Source organism: Homo sapiens, chromosome 3 (assembly GCF_000001405.40).
Source record: "Homo sapiens chromosome 3, GRCh38.p14 Primary Assembly".
NCBI classification, from domain to species: Eukaryota; Metazoa; Chordata; class Mammalia; order Primates; family Hominidae; genus Homo; species Homo sapiens.
In genome coordinates, this window is record NC_000003.12 from 13,811,602 (window position 1) to 13,837,956 (window position 26,355).

The 26,355-nt window shown below is 52.1% G+C and overlaps 1 protein-coding gene across 3 annotated transcripts in view, besides 2 other annotated features; it reads right to left on the minus strand.

Moving 5' to 3' along the window:
* Positions 1–4,656: 4,656 nt before the first annotated feature.
* The window catches only part of WNT7A (Wnt family member 7A), a 63,814-nt gene continuing 42,115 nt past the window's right edge, over positions 4,657–26,355 (minus strand). For all 3 annotated transcript variants that reach the window (NM_004625.4, XM_047448863.1, XM_011534091.3), the window contains one exon: positions 4,657–7,822. In NM_004625.4, the coding sequence (NP_004616.2) occupies positions 7,343–7,822 (480 nt within the window). In that variant the 3' untranslated portion in view covers positions 4,657–7,342. The remainder of the gene's footprint in view (positions 7,823–26,355) is intronic.
* Positions 21,943–22,443: an enhancer, noted in NCBI's record as "H3K4me1 hESC enhancer chr3:13875041-13875541 (GRCh37/hg19 assembly coordinates)". NCBI's record gives its function as "activates a minimal SCP1, AML or CMV promoter by ChIP-STARR-seq in primed H9 embryonic stem cells {active_cell/tissue: H9 hESC(primed)}" and the evidence as "EXISTENCE:reporter gene assay evidence [ECO:0000049][PMID:30033119]".
* Positions 23,132–23,632: an enhancer, noted in NCBI's record as "H3K4me1 hESC enhancer chr3:13876230-13876730 (GRCh37/hg19 assembly coordinates)". NCBI's record gives its function as "activates a minimal SCP1, AML or CMV promoter by ChIP-STARR-seq in primed H9 embryonic stem cells {active_cell/tissue: H9 hESC(primed)}" and the evidence as "EXISTENCE:reporter gene assay evidence [ECO:0000049][PMID:30033119]".

The following is a 26,355-nucleotide window of genomic DNA, read 5'->3' on the forward strand; positions in this document are numbered from 1 at the left end:
CTCAGAAGGGTGCTCTCTTGGGCCTCAGAGGTTGTCTCTCTTCATGCTGAAGTACCTCTTGCCTGATATGGCCTCTTAGGGGAGGTGGCATTGGGTCTCTCTCCAACCTACACATCCCCAAGTCCACCCTATCACCGTGCACCCAAGACACCCTCACCCGCCTGCCTACCAGCCCCCAGCAATGCACACACTGGGCCAGGCAGGTGCAGGGACTGCAGGTGAATGATGAAGGTCAAGCCACGGGCGCCTGGGTGAGACAGGTTTGCCCGGGCCTCCCTGAGCCCTGGTCTGTGGCCTGGGTCTGGATGGGTGTGCTTTATGTGCATGTGACCTCTACCCCTGGGGGTGGCCCGTGTGTGTCTCTGAAGCCTCTCGCGGGGTCTGTCAGAGCTTTGTCCCTCCTTTTGTGAGCGTCTGCTCACTCCCGGGGCTGTGTGACTCCTTCTGGGTCTCTTGCTCAGTGACTCTCTCTCTCTCTCTGTCTGTGTGTGCACTGCACATGCGTGGTGTGACACTTTCTCTGGGTCAGGGCAGCTTGCCATTTCGGGGGCTAAGCTGGGGAGTGGCTGCAGAGCTCTCCCTTTGTCTCCAGCACATTCTTCTAGGGCCAGAAGCGTTGTTGTGGCAACTGGTGGCTGCCCTGTCAATGGGGCAGATGTGCCTGTGACCACGTCGAGGGGGCTTGATCTGTGTCCACTCCCCCACTGGCCCCTGGGCAAGCAGGCGGCCCTCAGGACAGGCCCCCCGCTTGTCCTCCAGCTCCTCCACTCAGACGCCTGCCCAAGCCCACCGCCTCTGAGCCTGGCTGGGCCCAGGCAGGGGGCCTGGCGAGTCTGGGAACAGGCTCCGATCTCATTCATTCTCATTCAACAAATATTTATTAACCCCAACTGTGTGCTGGCACTGGGAACCCAGCAGCCACAAAGACAGACAAAGTCCTGCTCTCTTGAAACTTAATGACCATATTAATACGCAAAGCTCACACTTCCACACCCTCACGGCATGCCAGGCACTATGTTTAGCAACTTGCATATATTAACTCATTTAATCACTGTGATAATCCCATTACTCTTCCTATTTTACTAATGATGAAGTACAAGCACAGAGATGTTAAGTTATTTGCCCCAAACCACACAGCCAGTAAATAGAGCCAGGAGTGAATCCAGGGCATCTGGCTCCAGGGTCCATGCTCTTAATCACTATACTGTATAGCCTCTAACAAATGAGAAGCATCATTTCAGATAGTGGTAAGAGCCACGAAGAAACAAAAATAGTGGGTGAGGGGGTGCTGGGAGCCAGGTTAGTTGTGAGTATGTCCTGAAGTGTTGGCATTTGACATGAGCCCTATTAACAAGAAAGAGTCAGCCATGCGATGACCAGAGGGAGCAGCATGTGCACAGGCCCAGAGGCAGTGTGGAAGCTGGCTTGTTAGAGGAACAGAAGGAGGAGGGATAGGCTAGATCCTGGATAGAAAGGGGCTCTGTGCTGTACCAAATGAACTCCCAGATCCCACAGCCGTGTATTTCCTGCCTGCGGATATTCCTGACCAGCAGGTTGACTTTCCTCCAGGTGGACAGTCAGGGACCCAGAGCCCTTCCTTCTGTGGCTTCACAGCTGGCATCCCATGGCCCACATAGGTAAGGAGCGTTGGGGGTGTTGACGGGCCAGGAAGTGGAGTGCATCGCCTCTACTCCATCATCCAGAACCCAGTCACATGGCCCAGAATAAGAGGATCTGGGAGTGGCAAAAAGCCAGCCAGACTCAGCCCCATAAATGGCTGGTGGTTGTGCAGACAGAGAGAGCTCAGATTTGGGTATAGGTTGAGGTTGAATCAATGGGACTTGTTGATGGATGGAGTAGAGGAAGACAAGACCCATGACTGACTCCAGGACTGCACAACTGGCAGGGTGAGCAGCTGAGGCTCGAGGGCTCCACACAGCAGAATGGCTGTGTCCCCACCATAGCATCAGTGCTAAGGAGCTCTCCTTTTGTTCCGTGATTGAGTTCTGGGAAATCATTCCCCTCCCTCTCCCCACACCCTTTGCTATGTAGCTGGGCAGGTCCTGCTGGGAAGAGGTGGCATCTGCTTCCCTACACCTTGAATCTGGGCTGGCCTGGACTTGCTTTTGCCAGTAGGACATGGAGAACTAATATAGTGATGGTACCAAGCCAGGGCCTCAAGAAGCCTTGCAGCATCTGCTCCCACTTTTGGAGTCCTTCCCCTCTGATGGAAACCAGCTTGGGCCAGCCTGCTGGAGGATGAGACCATGTGGAAGAGACCCTGGTTGTCCTAGCAGAAGCCACCCTAGAGCAGCCTATAGACAGCTGACCCCAAAATATGTGGAAGATTCTGCTAAGCTCAGCAGCGCCACCTACTTGACCCACAGCTGACCATAGGTGTGTGAGAGAGCCCAGTTGAGACCAGAAGTGCCCGGTGCACCCATGCACTCATGAGCAAAGATCAATCCATAGTGTCTGGAGGCAGTTAGTTTGGGGGTAGTTTGTTATTCAGCCATAGCTCACTGACACAATTCCCCAAGCAGGAAAGGAACCTGGTCATCGAGCCTGGGACATGAGTTCCAGTCCTGTGCCTGTCAGTGAATTTTCATGTGGGTGGGCCCTGTAGCAGGCTCTGGAGCACCATCAAGGAGTGTGGTTCTGATTCTAGCAGGCCAGGAAAAGAATGTGGGCAAGGGCTGCATGTGGGTGGCCCTGGGTCTCATCCTCCCTGAAGCAGCATGAACAGACTTTTCAGAGGAGTCTTCAGAAGAGTTTGTCAGGTGGGGGAAAGGTGAGTGCTCTGGGCAGAGGAGACAGCAAAGGACAAGATGTACAGAGAAATGGGACCACAGTAATTCTGTGCTGGAGACAAATAGGGTGTGGTGATGAAAGAGAGGGCATGAGAACTGCTAGAACCTCATCTGGCAGAGTGCTTATCTCCTAAGTGGCACCATTGCTACTGCTGTGCAAAAGGCTGCCAGCATGGCAGGTGCAAGGTCACTGTGGGATAAGGAACTTGGACTTTACCTACAGGACAATGGGGAGCCATGGCTGGTGGTAGGTATGGTGTGAGTTGGTCTGGCCAGAGCTTGGAGGCTGGCTTGATGGGGTATGAGTGGAAGCAGGGAGACCTGGAGGAAGCCTTGGCATTCTTTCAGATTCTCACCTGAAAGAGACAATGGTGGCCAAAGAAGGTGATGGGCAGTGAGAAAACTCATGAGATGCCCCAGGGAGAAACTGCCAGAGCTTGGCAGCCTGTTGAATGTGCCTGGTGTTGGGGAGGAATTTGACAATGGCAATCTGCATCTGGCATGGACAGCCTGTGTGGTCCACAGCCTGAACCTCTTATCTCCATCTTCCTCAAGCCTCTGTTTGAGGTGGTGGAATGCTCAGGTGATGATGGCTCAGATGATGTGTGACAGCCCAAACTATAGCCTTCCTTCCCTTGCTTCTGGGTGGTGAGGCCTTGAAGAGGTAATTTCTCTTCCCTGAGACTGGTTGTCATTTGTGAAGTGGGAGCAAGAGGCTTCCTAGGGTCTCAGGAAACATGTCTTAGACTTGCCTTGAAGTGTGCAGGGGACAGCCCCACCTCAGGTGGGAAAAGCCTCCCCAGGACTGTCCTGACCTCAGGTGGGAAAAGCTTCCCCAGGACTGTCCTGACCTCAGGTCGAAAATCCTCCCCAGGACTGTCCTGACCTTGGGTGGGAAAAGCCTCCTCAGGACTGTGCCTGCCCTTGGGTGGAAAAGCCTCCCCAGGACTGTCTTGACCTTTGGTGGGAAAAGCCTCCCCAGGTCTGTTCTGACTCAGGTCTTGCTGAGGGGCTCCCTTGCCAATTGGCAGGGCACCCTCTGCAGAGAGGTTCAGGCACTGGTTCATCTCCTCAGGGCCTTTGGGAAAGTCCAGTTCCTGCTCCGTGAAGCCCTGAGCTAGTTTTAAACTCAAGTCCAGAGGCTGTGTGTGTGTGTGTGTGTGTATAGGAACTTTATCCCTCTTAACCGTTTCCCTCAAATTATTTTGCTGCCTCCATTGGTGCACTATGTTGGTGCAAGGCCATCCCTGGGAGGCACACATCCTGGACTTTGTTTTCTCACTGCCAAATTTGCTGTGTGGCCTTGAGCCCTGGCCCTCTCTGGGCCTCAGTTTCTCCAGTTCTAAAACAAGAGATGTGTCCAAGTCAGAGACTGTATGCTGGTGGCATGAAGGCCAAGTTCAGCCCACAGTCATGTTTTGCTTCATCCTCATGGTGTTTGTCAATGTACAGAAAAAGTGGGATATTTTACTTAAAAACCTGGATGCTTGTCCTTTCTTGAAAAATCAGAGGATCTGACCATGAAGAGGCCCACATTCCCATGTGGCAAAAATGCCCTTGTGTTGAGCAGCTTACTTTCTGAGACTGGGTTCCTGCCAAGACCCCAGGCATTTGGTTTCTCATCACTATAGTCCTGGGCTTTCTGATGTTTTTGGTTCAGCCTCTAACGATTTTGGCCTTTGTAACGTCAGTTTTTTTGAAAAGCCACTTTAGGAATAGACCAAAGGGGCTGGTGGATACCTCTGCCCAATGCAGAACCAAATATTTATTACCATAAGCCATGTTTGAAGAATCCCATAGTTGTGGAGAGAATAGTGATAATAATAATTAATAATAATATTTAGCATTCATCCATTGCTTTGCAACTCAAAGTGCCATACAGTCATTACTGGGAGGATCCTCACAACAGCCCTGTGAGGTAGGTGTTATTCTGATTTCACAGGTGGAGAAACTGGGGCTCAGAGCACAGCTGAACAGGGCACCCGAGAGAGGGCAGGCCCCAGAGCTGGGAACCCACAGTGAGGGAGGACACAGGGATGACTCTTCTGAGACTGTGTTTATGTAACTATCATTGAACACTCATCTGGGGAGGCTGGTCAGAATCTCCCCCATTCCCAGGTGCCAAGGAGGTCAGAAGCAGAAGGGTTGCAAGGTCGGGAAGCCATCCTGATCATGGCAGATCTGCTAGGTTTTCCAAAGCAAAGATAAAATGTGACCTGTGGACTCCCAAGAAACTGCTCACTTACCTATCTGTAGGTGTACCTACCTCATCAACCCACCCTCATCCACCCACCCACTTTCCTAGCTATTCATCCATTCATCCGCTCACTTATCAATCCATCCACCCATCTGTTTATCCCTTCATCCATCCATCTACCCATCCATCCATTTATCCATTCACCCACCCACCTACTTATCCATCCACACATCTACCCATTCACCTACCTACCTACTCACACATTCATCCATCCCTCCATCCATTCACTCCATGGCCCCTTCACATGCCCACTCCTCCAGACACCCAAGTAAAAGAAAAATGGAAAAAAATGTCCAAGGGAAGAAACCATGCAACCATCCAGTCACTTTTATTTGCCCATGCTGTGATCCAGGCTCAGTGTGGACACTGAGGAGTCAGACACAGCCTAGATACTGAAGGGCTCCCAGCAGGTGGGGCCATGGGGCTGTGCTGTGGTCTCAGAGGTGTCTGGTTTTCACCCATGGGTGTGGGGACAGAGTTCAGAGGTGCCTTCTCTTGGCGGTTCAACACAATCACACACAATCTCTGCTGTCTGCCTCATACCACCAGCCCTCACATGCAAGCAGAGACTCTGGGGAGCAGCAGATGCAAAGGCATGCAGCTCCATGCCTGAGACCTGATCTCCCAGGCACACGGAGAGAAACAGACGCTTGGGTAGCACGGAAACACACAGACACATACACACACGAGTACGGCGGAGGCGCTGCAAGGCGCAAAGTCACGTGACTACACTCAAGTCCCTAAGAAGATACAGTACACACACACACACACACACACACACACACACACACACACACACACACCGGAAATGCAAACGGACACATATTAGAACACCCCCAGCCTGCTGGAGGACAGCTTTCTAGGCTGAGGCTCTGGGTGTAGCTGGACCCAAAGCAAAGTGGCCTCACTTGAACCTCTCTCTGCTGCTTGGCCTTGGGAGCAGGATATCCAGGAAGCCCCGCTGGGCCCGGCTGCTCATCGGCCCCTCACCCCATCTGCTTTGGGTCACCTCACCTGAGGACTACATCTCACCTTCCAGGACACGCAGGCAATGGCTAGTGTCTTGGTGAGGTGTGGGGCTCCCTGAACTGGCCTCTGCTGCAGGATGACGGTCAAGTCCCTGTGAGGGGCACGATGACCACCCACCACAGTGACTCATTTCGAAGCTACCACTCAGTGGCCCTGCTTGAAAGGCCTGAGCTTAACAGGCTGAGGCTGGGGATTTGATTTCTTTCCCGGCTAACATGGATGAGATGATGCCTCAACCCCAGGCATCCAGGGGCAGCTTGTGCCCACTTGGCAAACAGAACTCAAGAATCCAGCTGTGCAAGGGGCCCCATGGGGCCTGACGCCACAACCAGGCATCGCCCCTCCTTACCCCTAAGTGAGTACCAGAATTAAGAAGAAGCACAGGCCGTGGAATGATACAGTAGACTCGATATAAATAAAATATTCATATAAAAATAGTCTCTTACAAAATATTCTCTCTTATCCGGTGGCTCACTTTCCGAAAGATGGAAACTGCTGGGAATTTATTATTTTTCCTCTCTATTTATTCCAAACTGGATTTTTCTAATGGTGAAGTTTGAACTGGGGAGGGCAAAAGGATGGAAAACATACTCTGGAAAAAACGTCTCCAAATCTGGACCAGCTTAAATTTCTGGATAAGTAGCAGCAAACAGCAAAAAAAAAAAAAAAAATGTGTGTGTGTATATCTATATATGCATAAAAGATGTCTCCTCTTGTACTTAAACATCTAGTGCTGCAAGGTGGGTACCTGCAAAATCAGCTAGTAGAAATATCTGCATAAAGAATAGTTATGTACACTTCTACACGGCTCCTTGTCCTAGCAACAAAATCATCCTGCTAGGAAAGCAAGCAGTCCACTTTGATTGCAGAAAACGGATCCCGACGAGGTGGAAGAATTCTTTTTAATTAAATAAATTAATATTATTTTTATCAGAATAAATTGTTAAATATTGCTGTGATGAGGCCCAGGGGTCCAGAGTTCCTGCTGCAGAAGGCTTCGCTCCAGCCGCGGAGGGACCTGGGCTGTGTCTGGGGGAGGGTGGAGCAGCATTGGGTGTGGAACAGAATAGTTGAGGGCTCTGAGAGATTTTTTTTCCCCCACGGATGCCTGCAGGAAACCCAGGAAAAGTACCCTCCTCAGCAGAAAAGACAAGCTCAGCATCCTGCCAGGGAGCCCGCAGCTTGGAAACGGTCCAGTCCTCCCAGCAATCTGACTTGCAGCGGGAGGGTGGTGTGCACACGGGGCTCACTTGCACGTGTACATCTCCGTGCGCTCGCTGCACGTGTTGCACTTGACATAGCAGCACCAGTGGAACTTACAGTTGCACTGCCACACGCGGGCGTACTGGTGGGTGTTGTAGCCACGCCCACAGCACATGAGGTCACAGCCGCTGGCCTGGGGAGCCGTCTTGTTGCAGGCGCGGCCCTGGGTGCCCACACTGCCGGTCACCGGGTCCTCCTCGCAGTAGTTGGGCGACTTCTCGATGTACACCAGGTCCGTGTCCATGGGCTTGCGGTACGACAGTGGCTTCTTGATCTTCAGGAAGGTGGGCCGCTTGTTGCGGCTGGCACGCACAGGCTCCACGTGAACGGCCTCGTTGTACTTGTCCTTGAGCACGTAGCCCAGCTCCCGAAACTGTGGCAGTGTGGTCCAGCACGTCTTGGTGGTGCACGAGCCTGACACGCCGTGGCACTTACATTCCAGCTTCATGTTCTCCTCCAGGATCTGCAGGGGAGGGCGGGGAAGAGCACAGCACAGGTCACTGCACGCCAAGGCCAAGTGCAGCCCCCAGCTCCCCCCCGCCCCCCACCCCTGCCCCACCTATCTGGGTCTGGCTTTAGTTTTTTCTTTCTGGTGTAGGAAACTCAGACCTGGATTCTAGGCCCTCTCATTCCAGCCTTTGTGCTGTGCAAGCCACTTCAGCCCTCTGTGCAGCAGTTTCCCCATATGTAGAAGGGGGATAACGATAGTGCCTAACTGTACTCATACAATGCAATACTATACAGCAAGGAGAAAGAATGAATTGCTCACACATGCACAAAGAATGGATCTTTAAGAGGTAATGTTGAGGGAAAGAAGTTGGACACCAAAGAGGACATACTTTATGATTCCATTTATATGAAGTTCAAGAATTGAATGGCAGATGTTTTTCATTTAAACTTTATTCACCTACAAAGACAGTGGACTGGAGTTGGGCCATGAGCCATATTTTGCTTACCTTTGTTTTAGAATAGCCTAGCAATAAGAGAAGGCAACATTTTACCCAACACCCAGAGTACAGCATATTCAGGTTATTTTCAGTGTACTTTAAAAAATTGTTTTTATTTCTTTCTCTCACTTTTCTTCCTTCCTTCCTCCCTCCACCCCTTTCTTCCTTTTTCAACTATAAAGAAATATCTTTGGGACTAAAGCTTCTCTCCCTTCCTCCACCATCCTAAGTCATGAATTGAGCTCCTACTGTGTACAGGCACAGAGATGGGGATTTCCCAAGTGAGCACAGTTGCTGGTTCACCATGTGTGAGCATTTTTATTCTCCTTCATTCAGACTGTCAAATTGCTTTTGCTTGTTATATCATGAAAGAATGAATGGAGGAAGGGGTAAGTGAGTGGACATTTATTAACCCCCTGCACACACACTGGGCCCATGCTTTTATGTATGGCATCTTATTAATTCCATGAAGCTAGTATGATTGACTCCTTTTTACAGAAAAAAAAAAAAAAGCCTTGAGGCTAAACTAAGTCTCAGAGCTGGTCTGTGAGACATTCTGAGGCAAGGGGCTTGGAGCTGAGGGGCGAACTGAGTGCCTGCTGGCCACTTAGTTCCCATGTGATGCTTCTTCTCCAGGTCTCAGTTTCCTTAACTCTAACATATAGTGAAGACAATTCCAGCTTTTCTGAGAAAATCAGGGTGCTGGAAGAGAATGAGACATTCAAAAAACTCGCTAGTCTTGCCTCTGGCCCTGGGCCCGTTCAAGATGCTGGGGATACTGAGGTGACAAGATTAAGTCCCTGACTCTGAGAATTGGGTCCATGTTCAGGGTCCTCCTAGCCCTAAGAGCTCTCCTTCCAGGAGAGGTGACCAGTGTTTGGTCAACAGAACCACCAGGGAGGGAGAGCCACCACATTTCAACCTCAGTATCTGCAATCAAATGAGCCAGTGATGCCACAGGCATCCAAAGTGTTCAGGAACAGGACTGGCTGGTTGAAGGCTCTGGTTCCAGAACACCTGGCATCACAGAGTACCTCCTGTAGGCAGCAGTCTCCCAGGACCCCCCCACACGCAGCCCATGCTGGATGAGCAGCCCCTTCAAATGCAGGCTGCGTCCCACAAATCTGTGTCCCCAAAACAACACAGATATCCCCAACACAGGTTGTCAGTGAGGGGATAGTTCCCAAATCTCCAGCCTGCCTTACTGCCTTGGCTTAAGAAGCAGGAGAAAGAGCAAAGGCTTGGAGGTGTGATGACACAATTGGGGGCAGAGTGAGGCAGGTGTTTCTGATGCACTCAGGCCCAGTTGAGCTGGAGGCTTTGACAGAGATACCTGGGGGATGCTCAAAATGGATTCTGACAATACTGAGTGTTGGCAAGCATATGGAGCACCTGGAGCCCTCAGACACTGCTGGAGGCATGCCAACCTGGTACACGTATGTTAGAAACCCGTTTTCCAGTATCTACTAAGGCTGAGGATGCACATGCCTATGACTCAGACCTTCCATTTCCAAGACACATACCCTAGAGAATCACACTGTGTGTGCAAAGGAAACAGGTTCAAGAATGTCCACACAGCAATGTTCATAATCGCTCTGACCTGGGCACCATCCAGATGACCATCCATAGTGAGTGGATAAACCACAGCGTGTGCATTTCAGTGGAACACAATAGGGCAATGACAATGAACAGCTCTAGCAAGCCACACTGACAGGGACTAACTCAGAAACACAGTGTGGAGGGACAGAAGCAAGCCAGAAATGATTTCCACAGAGTGATTTCATTTGGATCAAGGTCAAAGGCAGACAAAACTGGATAGTATTGTTTAGGAGCCCATCCACCAATATCAAGACAAGGTTATTCCCAGGGCGGGGAGGGGCTGTGGTTGGCCAGGGGCACCCAGCTGTCTTCTGGGGGTCCTGGCAATATTCTGCTCCTTGATATGGTTTATGGTTACATGGATCATGCTTTGTAACTATTCTTTTAAGTGAACAGGGATGCTTTGTGTACTTTTTTCACATAAGCAATATCTCAATTTATAAAAATGCAATGGATACAATCAATGGCCAACAAGCACATGAGAAGATGTTCAGCAGCACTGGTCCCCAGGGAAAGGCAAATCAAAACCACAACGACATGCTCCTTTACACTCACTAGGAGGCTAAGACAATAACAAGTGTCGGCGAGGGTGTGGAGCCATCAGAACCCTCTTGCACTGCTGGTGGGCATCTGAAAGGAGGCAGCCACTCTGGAAAACAGTCTGGCAGCTCCTCAGAATGTTAGACACAGAATGTGTGACTCAACAATTCCACCCCTAGGCGTATGCCCAAGAGAAATGAAAACATGTCCACAATAAAATGAGTACATGATTGCTCATAGCAGCATTATTCATAACAGCCAAAAAGTGAGCGGAATAACTCCCTCAACTATTAATGGATAAGCAAAATGAGGTATACAGTGGAATGTTATTCAGCCATAAAAAGGAATGAAGTACTGATACACGCTACAACATGGATGAGCCTTGAAAACATTATATGCTAAGTGAAAGTAGCCAGATGCAAAAGGCCACATATCGTGTGATTCCGTTTACATGCAATGCCTAGAATAGGCAGATCCATAATGACACATGGGAGATTAATGGTTGCAGAGAAGAAGGGAAATGGGGAGTGGTGGCTAATGGGTACGGGTTTCTTTCTGAGGTGATGAAAATAATGTAAAATTCATTGTGGTGATGGTTGCACATATCTGTGAATATATATTAAAAGCCATTGAATTGCATACTTTAAGTGGTGACACTGTATGGCATGTGAATTATACCTCAGTAAAGTTGTTTTCTTAAAAAAGGCAATGGGAAGCCCCTGGAAGGTTTTTGTGGGAAAGCAATACCAAGGCTTGCATGTATTTCCATGTGTGTGATACTGAGGGCTACTACCGTGGTGGGCCCTAAGCAATGGCCCTAGTGCAGAAAATGGCTCCTGTGTCCTGGATGGGGGTCACTGCTCCTTCTGCCCCTCTTGGTCCCCTGAATGTGGCCTCCCTGTTCTTCTGAAGCCACTGATGGCCTGACGCCATGGTGGTATTGAATGGGCTCCGATCAGGTGACATCCAGCCTGCTAGCCCTGCACACTCTGCATTTTGAGAGATGCAGTGACTGCATTCTGTCCACATTAAGCCAGGCATAATCACAGCTGCCTGGCCAGGGCTGGTCACCAGATGGGCACCCAGCCCTCTCCCCGAGGCAGGGGACAATAGCAGAGGAAGTGTGTGAGGGACAAAGCTGCACTCTGCACCCTACTGCTTGAGGCCAGGCTTCTGAGCTGCCCGAGGGGACTTATGAGCTCACCTCCCCACTTGAAGAGCCTGGGCTCTGTGCTTCAGTGTCAGGAGGTCTGAGGGCTTTCAGGCTCAGGCTCTAAGATGACACGGCTCCATGCAGCTTCCCAGTGCCTGGCATACAGCCGGTGCGCAGAAAATGCCAGAAGGTAATTCACCAAGGGGGTGCATTCAAATCACTCCACAAGCAGTATGCCCCAGGCCCGAGCAATTGTCAGTTGAATGTTCAGGGTCCCACAGGCCCTGCCAAGCTAGCCAGGCATCAACCCTCCATTGCTGGATATAGGTGAAGTTGAGAGGATTCAAGGAAAAGCCATGGCAAAGGTGGGGGACAATCAAGGGGCTTGGAGCAGCTGGCAGAATGTCAGTATTTTATATTAGTGGCTGCACCACTGGGTTGCAGGTTAAAGACCAGCTGCATGAAACTGCTAGAGTTTGCCATTTTGCCATCTTGTGATGCTGAGATATCACAATATATGAGAAAAATAAATGAGGAAGTAAATCTGTGAATCTGGTGTCTGGCCTCAGTAGGCCCTTCCAGATGGTTTGGCCTGTGGAAGGCACTGGCAGGAAATCGGAGGGCAGGAGGAAAGTTCTGGGAGTTATTCCCCCTGGTTGCTCCCTGCTGGGCCCTTCAGGATGTCTGCACAACCCTATCAAAGGTCACAGCTCCTGCTGGGAAGTCCTCTCTATACAGCCCCCGGATTCTAGCAGCTCAGCCTCCCCTGTCTTCAGGCGTAAGGAGTAACCACTCCCCAGTGTAGCCAGCCCCAGGGTGCTGCACCAACTCTTTGAATTCCTTTACTTTTGTCCTTTTATTAGCAAACTCTTTCTTTTTTAAAACAGCTTTACTGCAGTACAATTCACATACCACACAATTCTCCCATCAAAAGTGTACAATTCAATGGTTTTTAGTATATTCAGAATTGTACCACTATCATTACAATCTAATTCTGGAACATTTTAGTCACCCCACAAAAGAAACTCCATACCCATTGCAGTCATTCCCCATTTCCCCTTGTCCCAGGCCCAGGCAGCCGCTAATCTACCTGCTGTCTTTGTAGATCTGTCTGTTCTAGACAGATCTATTCTATAAATGGAATCACATAGTATGTGGCATTTTGCGTCTCTAGCTTCCTTCACTCAGCATAAAGTTTTCAGGGTCTGTGCATGTTGTAGCATGTGTTACAATTCTTTTCCTTTTCATGGCTGAATAACACTCCATGGTACAGGTATGCCACATTTTATCCACGCATCCATCGGTCATTGGACAGTGGTCTCTTTCTAAACTCTCCTTAATTCCCCAGTCTGAATGTGCCTGTGGCATCCAGCCATGACCACAGTGGATACACCTGGCTCCTCTGCAGCAGGGCCGAGCCGAGCCCCACCCTCCTGGCCCCCAGGCCCATGCTCTCTCCGCAGCAGCTGCCTCCGCTTGAGCAAGCTCACCCCTTCCATGCCTCTTGGCCCTGCACATGCTGTTCCTTATCTGGAAGGCCAATCTTTATCACCATGACAGACGATGGCCCAACAATTCCACTACTGAATATGTACCCTGCGGGGAGGCTTGTGCTTGTGCAAGATGTCAAAGAGCCTCACAGGGACCTTATCTGAAATATCCAAAGGCCAAAAGAATCTGAAGATCCACCAGTGGGGACTGGTTATGTAAATTACGGCACATCTATGAGTTGGAATGCCCTATAGCTGCTAAAGAGAATGAAATGGCTCTTACTCACTAACCAAGGACACTGTGCAAGGTCCGTGGTTAAGAGAGCAAAGCAAGGTGTAGAAAGGCTTGCAGCTTGGGAGCTTGTTTGTATGAGAAAGAAGACTCATCCATGTATGCTTGTAAGAGCACAGGGTATTTCTGGAATTACATGAGGGGAATTGGTAAGAGCAGCTGTCTCTGGGGAGGACACCAGTGCCAGGGGACCAGCTGGACAAACAGGAGTCTTACTTTTCATGGGATTGTCTTTTGTAGTGTTTGAATATTCTGCCATGTCAGGAAAAAAGTCAGCTCCTCACAAAGCCTTCCCTGATTGTCAGGATAGACAGTGACTCCCTCATGGTTTCCATGGCTGGCCTGTGCTGTTAGAGTCCTTGTCTCCTTAGCACTGTGATGACCTGCCTATACGTCAGCATTCCCCCAGGCCAATTGCCCTCCAAGGGAGGACTTGCTTCATAGCTACATGTAGTGGTATGTTGCTCAAACTGGCTCTCGAAAGAAAAAACAAAAAGCCCTGTTACGTAGTGTTTCCCAATTTCTGAGGAATAAATTAAATGTTCCCACCATGGCTGACTTTAAGCTACCAGCAGTTTAACAATTGACAAATCCTGAATATTTAGTAGCGGGTCTTCCAGCCCATAGGAGTGGGTTCCAACACACCACTGGCCTGGGAGTGTGATTAGTGCATAGCCTCCAGCTGTCAGATCCTTCAGGGTGTGGGGCCCTGCATCTGGGGACCAAGAGAGGCAAGGGTATAAAGGTCTGGCCATTTTAGCCAGAGGCAGTCCAACATAATGGGCAGGACCGAGTCCAGTGCTCCCCATCAAGGCTTTGCTGGGCCAGCATCCAAGTGTGAGTCCTCTATCTGCCCAAGCCTGCTCCTCCTCTTCCCCTTTATTCCTTTATACAGATCCCCAATAAATAGCTGGGACCGGAAACTCCATCTCAGCCTCTGCTTCCAGAGAACCCCACCGGCCACACTCCTCGGGCCAGGTCATTCACCTTGAAATCCCCCGCCTCTGATGAAGAGCCTTGTGTGCAAGCGGTGCTGCCCGGTGTTTGCAAGGGGAACAGGACCTAGGGCATGTCTGTCCACGTAGGCTTTCACTCATGCACCTGTTTCACAGTGAGGACCTACTGTGTGGTATTTGGCGTCACCCCTGCTGGGGAGTTCCCAGGAAGACTATGACACAAGGAGGTGCTGCTCCGGTTTTCTCTGAGCTTCCGGTCCCCACCTTCCCTGAGTTTGCAGTCCTTGCCACCTCTGAGCTTGTGATTCCAAACCAGAAGTAACTGTGGAATTAATAATTCCCCTGAATCTAATCATACATTGGTAAGTGCTATGAAGGAGTGAAAGCAACAGAGAAGGAAACTTGAACCCGTGAGATGCTCCTGTGTGCATCTCAAGGAAGCCTCCCCCAAGAAGGCCAGGGCTGAGCTGGAGTCAGATAACGGGAGGGATAAATTAGAACTGGCCAAACTCAGGTAGATGGGGAAAAGGCATTTCAGATTGGGAAACAGACACAGAGAACTGAAAGAGGGAGCAGGCTTAAGGAAGAGCACATGTTGAGCACATAATGAGGACATTTCAGGCATGGTGAGTGGCCAGAAAGAGGGGAATCTGGGGAGTAAAAGGGTCTTTTGGTGCTACCGAAATCTGACTCCAGTCAGCTCAGGCATCTACAGAGGATAATGTGAGTGCAGGGCCAGGCAGACTTCAGTCCCTTCCACAGAATAAAACAGTGGCTGAAACCAGCCAGAAGAGGGCTAAACATCTACAATTTTTGATATCTAAAAAATTGATTGCAAAATCACAGTATGGGAGAGACTGAGAAAGATTGAAATTGACCACAAGTTCAATATGAGCTAGGAGGCTACTGAAAAGCCAACACTCTGGGGCCATATTAACTAAGGCCTAATGCCCACAATAAAGAAGGGGATGGTCTTCCTATACAGTTTTCAGAACTGGACTATGCCTCAGCAGATGGAAAGAAACAGAGCATGTCTAGAGGAGAGGGCTGGAGGACCCACAGTGAATGAGCTGGAGCTGTTCAGCCTGGAGAAGGTAGTTTCTGGGATCCCTAGTCACTACTCCACAGGGTCTGCAGGCCTGACCCAGGACAGAGTGAGCAGGAAGGACTGTGTCCCAGAGCACAGAGCTGGGACCCCAGTTGTTGGCAGGAGTCAGAGAGCAGTAGATTCCTGCTCAGTCAGAGGGCAACCTCCCCAACAAAGCTCACCAGGGTTCAAGAGGGTTGCTGGTGAGGTAATGAGCTCCCTGTCCTGGAATGTATGTAAGCAGCAGCTGGGGTCTGTAAAGGGGACTCCTGCACCAGGTTGGGTGGGGCTGCAATCCAGAGCCTCCTCTGCCTGCCAGCCATGCCCCAAACCTGTCTGGAGCAGCAGGAAGGATTTTCTGCACCACTGGAGGGAGAAAAATCAATCTCTTTTTGACAGGTCCCCCAGGAAGTGCCAACAATGTACCAGGTGCTGCCCAGAGCCCGGAATTACTCAGGGTGGGGTTCTCAGGCCTGGGAGGGGACTGGGGAGAAACTTGGCTCCAGAAAATTCCTTGATTCATAATGCCAAATAGATACTATCGAATTTGGTGCTTCTGGGCCTGTCCCAGACCCTCGGGCTGCCCAGGGGACCTAGGGGTGAACTTCCTGGAAGAAGGAAGGATCCTTGGGAGGGGACATCAGACAGCAACCTCTGGCTCCCACAGGGTCCATGCCACATGGTGCTCCTATGACTGGAAGTGTCTGCCACCCTCCATAGCATTCTGAGGGGCATCGAATTTTAAAAACCAAAGGCTTCCCAGCGTTGAACACACTGCTTGCTGTCATCCCTGCCCCCAGCACCCATGGCAGGCACTCTGAAGCACTGGGCGCTCCAGGATCGATCCTGCGCTGCCCTACTCCAGGAATGTGCCCCCATTCATCTCCGCAGGCCCAGCCCAACCCAGCCTTCTACAGCCCTCCACAGTGCCACCTCCTCCACAGAGCCACCTGTCCCAGCCCCACCCAACCCCAGTCCTTATCTTGGTGCCTTGTTTTCTAGCAAGCCCAGTGAGACCTTGGAGCTTTGCAAACAGAGAGTCCTCAATGAGGCCTTTCCTAGCCCCCGAAACTGAAGTAGCCCCACTGGTCATTGCTAAGGATGGGTGACTCAGACCAGTCAGGGCCAAACTGAAGTGAGTCCTGGGGATTCTGCGCACACAGAAGACAAGAGCTGTTGGTTATCTCCCACCAGATACGAACAGGAGGGAATGCAGGGGCCAGAGCTGTGGACAGGCATCGTGCAACCACATGGGGCCAGAGGATGGCATCAACTAGGAAAGCAGAGCTGAGAAATAGAGAGGGGGCAAGGAAGGGGTGCATGCAGCTGGGTCCTGGGAATATCATTTGCACCCTGGATCAAGCCAGACCTGAATTCATCAACCCAAGACCACTGTGTTCCAGGAACTAATGAATACCCTTTGCTCTTAAGCAAGCTTGAGTTGGGTTTCTACCCATTACAACTTAAAGTACCCTAACTGCAACAGAAATCCTTTCATCTGGGTGGTGGAGGTGCCCTTTGTAAAACAGATAGCCAGCCCCAAGTTGATGGGTTTTAAGCCACACATGGCATGGCGCAGGTCTGGGGAGCCAAGGACTGGTTTGCCTAAAAAGGCCTTTGGAAGGCCAGGACCTCGAGGGCTGGAGCTCGAGACTCTGGGCTCGTTGAGTATCTGCTGCTTCCTCCCCTCTGAAACCCCTCTGAGGTTGGCCAGCCTGGCTCCTCTGCAGGGAGTGGTCAGTTCTGGACTACTTGTACCTCAGGTTATAAGCAGTGACCTGGGCAACCAGAATCAGTCTCCACGAAAGTATGATGTGGCCAAAGGCAGCCTGAAGCAGAAGGGCAGGCACTGTGGCAGAGTCAGGTCACCCAAGAAGCTCAGTTCAAATCCCATCCCTGCCACCACATGCTGGTGATGGCAGAAATGGCCCAAGGGAACATGGCACACTCTCTGGCTCTCCATTTCCTCATTGCTGCTGGCCTACCTCTGACCACGGAGGCCGAAAGCATAACACATCGCCTGAAAAAAACAGAGACCCGGAAAAGCAACTTCTCCCTTTCTATCTTTGGATGCTGTGGTGTAAGAATGTGATTCCTGGAGCTTAGGCAGTCATCTTGTGACCATTAGGCAAGACCTATGAGGCTGACAAGGTGACAATGGCAGAATGGAAGGGTGAAAAGAGCTGGGGCCCAAGAAAAGACTGTTGAGCTTCTGAAAGAAACCATATCCAGATTTTTATTTTGCAGGAAAAAAACAAACTCCTATCATCAAAACCACTTTTGGTACTAGTAAGGCATTCTGTTACTTGCAACCAAATGCATCCTAAGAGATTTGTTCCTCGTTGTAAAGTAGGGACAAGTCCTCTCAAAGGGAACAGTGGGGATTAAATAGGAGAAGGCTCTTTGCGGCCTGGCACCAGGTATCTCACAGAACTGGCGCCCAGCCTGTGGGAACTTTTCTCATTTTGAGCAGTGGATGCTGGGATGAGTGCGCACAGGGCTAGAAGGGCAGGGCAGGGAGAGCGGCGCTGTGGGGCGGAAGGAGCCATCGGATGGAGGTCCTGCTTCTGTCTGTACACTGCTATGTGCCTGCAGGCGAGTCCCTTTCCTTCTCTGAGTCTCAGTTTTCCTTACCAATGAAGGCAACACAGGGGGATCTCGGAGAGAAAAGACGGGGACAGAGGGAGACAAGGAGGGCAGGGGGAGGAGAGAAGCAGGTTGGCTGAAGTTGTCCACACTCTCCCAGAAGTCCCTGGAGTGAAAGCCCATTTCTGTGCAGTGCAGCAGGTGCAGAGATGAGAGGAAGTGACCATTTCCCCCAGAGGTCATTAGGAGTTCCTGGGAGCCCTGCTGTTGAAGCCCCAGCCCTTCATCCTTTCTCCTGCCTTCTCCAACACCCAGGTCAACTCACCCCAGAACCCCTGTCCTATTGCAAACACCCTCCCAGCGCTGGAGGCATGTCTGTGCTGCTGCTGCCTGGCATGGCAACCCCAGGGCATCTTTAAGCAGCCCCTGCAATGGCTGCCTTTGTTCTCCCCTCACACAATGTGCTCCTGGTCCCCGCAGCGTCTTCTCCCATCCACATTGCTGGTACTGCTATCTCCCATGCTCAGACCCCAGCCACCCTCCCCCAAGCAGGAGGCTCGTTCCTGAACCTCCTCCAAAAAGATCCAAGCCAGCTGATCACATGGTAAAGGTGGGCCCCGGTCAAAAAGATGGACAGAAAGCAGGTGGGAGCTTTGCTGGATGTGGAGGCCCCTCAACCTCAGGCTGGAGGGCTGATGGCTTAGTTTTCACAGAAAGCCATGCCTGGGTCAGACTCCAGAGACTTGAGGCAGGAGATGGTCACCAAGTTCCGCTGGCTTCCTCTCCTGTGCCCCATGCCCCATCTGTTCATGTTTCTTGTCTCCAAGCACCCACCCTGCACCAACCAAGTGAAACACGGGTCCATCATCCTCTGTGTGTGGCAGAAGGTGTCCCTGGCTGCTGCTCACCCCTGCTCTACCCTGGGAGGCTGAGCTGTGTCCCTCCTTGCCCTCCAGCTTCCCAGTGGGTGATCCCACAGGGACTGGAGGGCAGGAGAAGATACAGGCAGGACTTTTACACCCTGGACTCCCTGTCCATGGACCACATGGTGGCTGTGACTGTCTCCCTCTGCCTAGAACCACAGCGCCTGCCAGGAGGCCCCTTTTCCCCAAGCCACACTTTCTCTACTAACACTGCCCTCCAGGGCAGACAGAGCTCCCCAATGTTGCCAGCCCTAAGGCCTTTTTAGGATTCCTTAAATCCTGCCCACATCCCTGTAGTCATCCTTTACCTAAACTTGCCTCTGTCACCCCTGACTACGCCATCTCCCAGACTCTGGTGGGCACACTGGGTAAGTGAGTCCCTCCTTGAGCTCCAGCTTTGTCTCCTCATGACATGGGCTCAATGGAACACACCTGGTGATGCAGCAGCTGGGTTAAATGACCGAAGGTGGAGTTCCAGGGGAAGGAGGCGCTCATAATCACTACTGTGATTATGTAGGATTGTGCCATTGTTCAAGGCTCTGCAGGAAATGTTGGTGTTGGTGTCAGGATCAGAGTGAGGACAATTTCTCGGCCTAGGGCTCAATGCCGGCCTCAAGCCCAAGCTGCTCAGTGTCACTTCTTCCTACGTGTATGCCCAAACCTCTCAGCAGACTGAGCGGCACAAGGGCAGGATCCATGCCCACCTCTAATAAAAGCCGCTGCCTCCGAGGTAGCTGCGGTGTCCAGTGCCTGACACGAATGCACACAGAAACCTTATGAGGAAGGTTGACCATCATCAGCCCATTTCACAGATGAGCAGACTGGGGAGACAAGGGGTGGCAGTGCGGACCACAGTCACACAGTCAGGAAGCATGGAACTGGTATTGGAGTCCAGCAATCTGGCTGTAGAGCTGTAATGTGGCCGAACAGAAGGAAGGTGGGTGGGCTAGGATGGCCTTGCTCCCTCGGTGATGGTCACTTGGGCTGGCTTGTGTAGTGGACACTGTCGCATGCCACTGGGATCTGTCCTTCAGGACCAGACACTCCCTCTGCAGCTGCTGGGAGTGTTGCTGCTGATGGCTAGCAGCTGAGTTCCTCCCTAGGCACTGCCCTCCCCTGATGGGAGCTGTCTCACCCAAGACCACTCCCCCTCCCTGGGCAGCCCCCCAGCCAAAGACTGGTTGGTGCTGGGTACAAAGGCCCATCTCCCTGCCTCCATGGGGCTAACCCAGCTCCAGGTTTCTCATGGGACCAGCATAAGTCCCTGTGGCTGCTGCATCACTGGCCAACTTCTCTCGATGCCCAGGGCTGCCTTCCTCACTGCCTTATAGGTGTATCTCCCCAGAGTCCCGCCCAGGACCTGTCCTGCTTGCAAATGTCCAAACCAGGGACCCTTTCCAAGGCACTGAATAAAGACAACGTGGAGGTCAGCGGGCAGGCAGCCTTGGACCCCCAACCCCGGGAGACAATAAGTGTGGATACCCACACCAGGATAGGTGCTACAGGCTCCCATCCAGAGCTGCCACCACCTGCTCCCCTCCTGTTCCTGCTCCTGCTTCTCCTGCTCCTGATGATATTCCTCCTCCTCCTCCCCCTCTTCCTCCTCCTCAGGCTCCTCCTGCTCCCCCTCCTCCTCCTCAAGATCCTCCTGCTCTTCCTCCTGCTCCTCCTTCTCCTTCTCTTGCTCTTCATGCTCCTCCTTCTCCCCCTCCTCCTCCTCTTGCTCCCATCCTCCTGCTCCTCCTCTTCCTCTGCAGGCTCCTCCTCCTCTACAGGCTTCTCCTTCTTCCCAAGCTTCTCCTACTCTTCCTCCTTCTGCTCCTCATCCTCCACAGGCTCCTCCCACTCCTCCTCCTCTACAGGCTCCTCCCACTCTTCCTTCTCACAGGCTCCTCCTCTTTCTCAAGCTTCTCCTTCTTCCCAAGCTTCTCCTGCTCTTCCTCCTCCTCCCCCTCCTCAGGCTCCTCCTACTCTTTCTCCTGCTCTTCCTCCTCCTTCTCAGTCTCCTCCTGCTCCTCCTCTCCCTCCCCATGTCGATCCATCTTAGCAGAAAGCTGCATTTCAGCCAGCTGCAGCTGTATACCTCTGGGCGACTCAGATGAAAGAGCAGAAAAAATGGCTTTTTTTTTTTTCTGTAAACATTTGAGGTATTTTCTTTTTGGTGCATTCTTTAAGTCATTCTGGATGCACTGACTTCAAGCAAATATTCCTGCCTGACATGGAGGGGATGGCAGGGAAAAGGTGCACCCCATAGGACAGGGCCCCTGGAATGCAGCCTGGGAGGTACAGGAAGAGAGGTTTCCACTCAAGCCAGAGAGAGGTTTTCTGGTCTATACTGGGGGCCTTCTGAAACTCAGTGTTTGCCAGGTTACAACTGCTTAGATGCTGTCTATGGCTCCTGAGGTTAAAGCCCAGATTCCTCTGCCTGGCTTTCAAGACCCTCCATGAACTGGTCTCTGCCCAACTTTGGGGTATCTTAGGAGCCCGAGAACTGTGGACACACAGCCCCTCACCCCAGATTCATCTCTTTCTAGGCTCCTACCCCCCCAGTAACCTGTGTGGCCTGCACACAGTCACATCCCACCATGTGCTCACACATACACAACCTCCCCAGGCATGGCCCCATGCAACCCCCCACAGGCTCACACCCTCACACTCATCAGCACACTCAAAGCACACACTCTTACGCCTGTGCGCACACTCACACACTCCCTCACAGGTATGCATGACACATATGCTCACACACAGGTGCTTCTCATGCCGTCCATCCCTACACAACATATGCACAGATAGCCCTTCACACACAGTCCTGCCCACATACTTCCCGGCACACAAGCGCACACACACACACCCTCAAACATGAAGGGAGCCCATATGGTGGTGGCTAGCAGATGGACCCACTGCACACTGGCATGGGGGGCCTGGGGCCAGGTCTCAGCTTTGCTCCCCTGTAAACTGGGGCATTTAAAGTAGCAAACCCATTTGGAGGTGGAATAGTCGAGCCCCACACAGTGCAGCACCACACAGTGCAGCCTCTCCTAGATGCATTCTGGGTGCCTCTCTCTCATAAGTGACCTCCCTGCAGGCTGCTAGGTTGACTACGGGGCAGGGGTTGCCTTGGGCAGGCCTGTCCCAGAGTCTAGGTTAGTGGGGACTGTGGCCTGTGACCTGGGGTGAGGCAATTGGGTAACCCCAACCACAGCGTGAGGGGCAGGGAGGCTGACAGCGGGGACATGGAGCCACTGAACCTATGTGCTTCTCCCAACTGCTGGAGCACCCTGAAATGGCCTTGGCAGTCAGTCATACATTCACTTATTCATTCATCCACTCATTCACCTTTCCACCACACGCTAACTTAATCCCTTCCCTGGCCAGGCGCTGAGGTTGGTGGCCAGGTGGGCAGAAAGAGGCAAGCCCCTGACTCCCTTGAAGCTTAAGCTCTGGAGGGGGAGGTGGCTGTGCTGTCAACTGTCACACGGGCATAAGGCTGATACCAGCTTCCACCAATGGTGGCCCTGAAGGAAAGCGCAAACTTGCTCCCGTTCCTGTGGTCACAGCTCCCAGAAGTTTCCCCCACAGCCTGGCTGGAAAATGTTTTTAAAACAATTTGAGAAATCTGAATCAGGCAGGGTATTAGACAGCACTGAGCAATTGTTTATTTTGCTCAGGGTGATAATGGCACCATGGTTTTTTTTTAGAAGTCCCTATTGATTGGAGATACACAGTCATGTGTGGGTGAAATAACAAGCTGTCTAGGGTTTTCCTTAAACCCTTCCAGTTGTGGGGAGCTGAGGAGAGAAAACGAGGTAGAGGACTTGGACCACAAGCTGGGGCTGCTGATGCTGGGGGTCGGGTGCACACTGGAGGTCAGGGGCACGCTGTGGGTCAGGTGCACGCTGTGGGTTGGGTGCGTGCTGGGAGTCGGGTGTACGGGGCTCCTTTTACTGTTCTTTCCCTCTGTCCTCCAGGCATCCCCTGCTGCCTCTTTGACTTCATCTCCTCTTTGACTTCATCTCCTATGCCCTCATTCACTCCATGCTGGTCACAGTGGGTTCCTTGCTGTTCCTCCAGCACCCCAGGCATGCTCCTGCCTCTGGGCCTTTGCACCTGCTGCCCTTCTGCCTTGGGGTACTCTTCCCCACTCTCCACATGGCTCCCTTCCTCAGTGCTTCTAGCCTTTGCTCAAATCTCACCTTCCCTATGAGGCTCTCCCTGACTTTTGCCCTGGTCTTTCCCGCCCCTGCCCCGGCTTGTTTTGCTCCCTAGCTTGCGTCAAATGTGACACAGCACACGTTTTAGTTGTGCTTATCATGTCTCCCTCCAGCATGTCAACTGCCCAGGGGCAAGGACCCGGTCTGTCCATCCCCTGCTGTGTCCCCAGCAGCTAGACCAGGAACATAGCGGGTGCTCAGTAAATACTTGCAAATGAATGACTGAGAGCAGTAAGAAAGAAAGCGACTGGAGTGATCAGGTAAGGAAGTGACCTTGAGCTGAGAACCAGACGTTGAAGAGGAGTCGACGAGACAAAAAGGGAGGAAAGGGCAGGCTAGGCAGAGGGAAGAGCATGGGCAAAGGCCGAGGGCAGAAGGAAGCAGGGAGCAGTCAGGAAACAGGAAGGAGGGCAGTGGGCCAGGCTGGAGGGCCGGCGGGGTCTTTGTCCTGATGGTTCTCGCTGGGGTCAGAGGAGCACATGTGGAATGGCATTGGAGAAGCTCTCTCAGGTGTCCACGCAGAGGACAGACTAGAGACCTGAGCAGAAAGGTCCTGCGATGCAGGAAGAAGCAGGGTGGGGGCTCAGTCAGGTAGAACCAGAGAGAGAACGGGAAAGCACGCAGAAACCAGAGGACCACCCGCCTGGCCAGCTCCGAGGGCAAAACCGCTGTGAACCCCTTTGGTGGTAAATCAGCTACAAACTGTGCATCTGATGAGGGCTGAGCCAGCGTCCTCAGCTCCTGCTGGCCTGCCTGGCTCTGGCCACCCCCATGGGGATGCAGAGCAATGGGACACAGAGCTAGAGGACCCAGAGCACGGGCCCCCTACATCAGTTCAGACCCTTCTCTCTTGGCCAGAGACCTGGGCTCTGTCAGGGACAACCCCAAAGATGGTGGACTTCAAAGAGGGATGGGACCTCCCCACGAGGCTGGGGGAACACTAACACCAGAAACACACTCACACACAAACTTGTCCACAAATGTCAATAACAGCATTATTCATAATAACCAAAAGATGAAACAACTCAAATGTCCATCAATGGATGAATGCGTAAACACAATGTTGTCTTTCCATACAATGAAACGTTATTCAGCCATAAAAAGGAATGAAGTACTGACACAGGCTGCAACATGGATGAACCTTGAAGACTTTATGCTGAGTGAAAGATGCTGGACACAAAAGACCACAGCGTGTATGCTTCCAGGTGTATGCAATGTCCAGAACAGGAAATCCATAGAGACAGAGAGCAGAGGAGTTGCTGCCAGGGGCTGGGAGAGAGGGAATGAGGAGTGACTACTAGTAGGTACAGAGTTTCTTTGAGGGGTGCTGAGAAGTTTCAAAATTGATTGTGGTGACGGTTGCACAACTGTGAATACCCTAAAAACCTTGGACTTGTACACTCTAAGAGGATGGATTGTATGGCATGAGAATTATATCTCAGTAAAGCTGGTTTTTAAAAAAAAAAAAAAAAAAAAGACAAGAGACCCCATTGGGCCAGTGTCCCTAGGAACTTGGGCCATGGAGCACAGCTGCTCGTGCAATGACAGGGGTGTCGGCCCTCGTGTGGGCATGCAGGGCTCAGCCCTGGCCTCCAGATGGGCACAGCAGCATCCGCACGCTCTCCCCAGGCTCTGCTTCAGAGTCATCTGCAGAATCCCAGCCTTTCAGAATCTGCTGATGCCTGGACCCCACCCCCAGAGGTTAGGATTTCACTGGTCTCAGGTGTGGCCAGGTGTCTGCTATTTTAAAAAGCTTCTCAGGATTCTCACATGTGGCCAGGGGTGGAGAGCCCTGGTCATGTCCTCCATCCACTCTGGCAGTCCTGAACCCTCCAGTGGAACCTCCCACTGCAGGGCCTGTGCTGGGTGCCAGTAAAGTGAGGGTGGTTGGACAAAGTCTCTGTCTTCAAGAAAAGCCCAGATAGTCAGGGAGACAACCAGACCGGTAGAAGGAAGACTGGTCCAAAATAAAGGCCTGTATGTACTGCCATGGGGCCCATGAGCAGTTGGAGGAAGTGACCTGTGGGGTTTGAAGGATGAAGAGGAGTTCGCCACTGGAAATTCGAGGGAAGGGTATCACCTGTGCCTGAGCAGGAGTGCAATGCCCTGGGGCTGGAAAAACCAAGGGAGCGGGTGTGGGTGCAGAAGAGAAGCTTGGTGCAGCAGTGGCAGCCCCAGGTAGGAAAGGAAGGCAAGTTGGGACCTGAAGGGAGGCCTAGATGGAACTGCCATGAGACTGAGTGCTGAGAGCCAGGGACCTTGCTCCTCCTGGCTGGAGCCCAGCACACTGCAGGGCATTACTGGGGGTGTCTGGTTTTGGGGGTGTGGGCAGTTACCGGAGGCCAAGTGGTAGCCTCTGATGAGAACACCATCCTCTGCCCTGTCCTCTGAGGCCCCAGGGCACCCACTGCCTCTCAGCCCCGCCAAAACCCTTCTGTGAACACTTAAAATGTCAGGTATTCCAGGACGACACCAAGCCCATTCCTGCCCCAGGACTCCACAGCAGCTGATCCTTCTGCCTGTGACACCCTTCCTCCAGTTCCTCAGCTCCGGCTCAGCAACGTAAAGCCACCCTGGATGGCCCCCTCTCCACAGTGCCCCGCATCAGCCCCTCTCACATCCCCCTGTCTCACATCCCCCCGGCCACCTGAGGTACTTTGGGATGACTTGCTTGCTCTCCCCTCCCCTCCTGAATGTCAGCTCCAGAAACACAGAGCCCCCATCTGCTGTATTCGGGAGCATCTAGAGGAGGTCTGCCTCCCAGGAGACACCCAGCAAGCATTTTCTGGGTGAGTGAATGAATGAATGAATGAATGAATGAATGAATTCACCTTTGCTCAGGAGTCTAGATAGCCATTCTTTCATGGTGGGTTATTGTAGAAGAGGCCCTGACTTAGTCCACAGAAGATCAAGGCTGAAGCATCCCGGAAAGTCTCTGGGGCAGGGACACAGGCGACGATGCTCTGGAACATGGAGGAAGGACCCAGGAGCCGGGTCACACCTGGCTGAACATCCTCTGTGCCCTTGACCACCTCCATCTGAGCTGCCTGGGCCCCAGCAAGGCCCTGCCCAGGTGGCCAGCTACCAAAGAAGCCCTATGAACTTCCCATCCCAGACAGGAGCTCCCTGAGACATGAGGAGCAGCTCTGGCCTCTCCCGACCTGTGTTGGCGTCCAGCGTGCAGGAGCTGGTGTCCAAGAGGCTGGACTGGC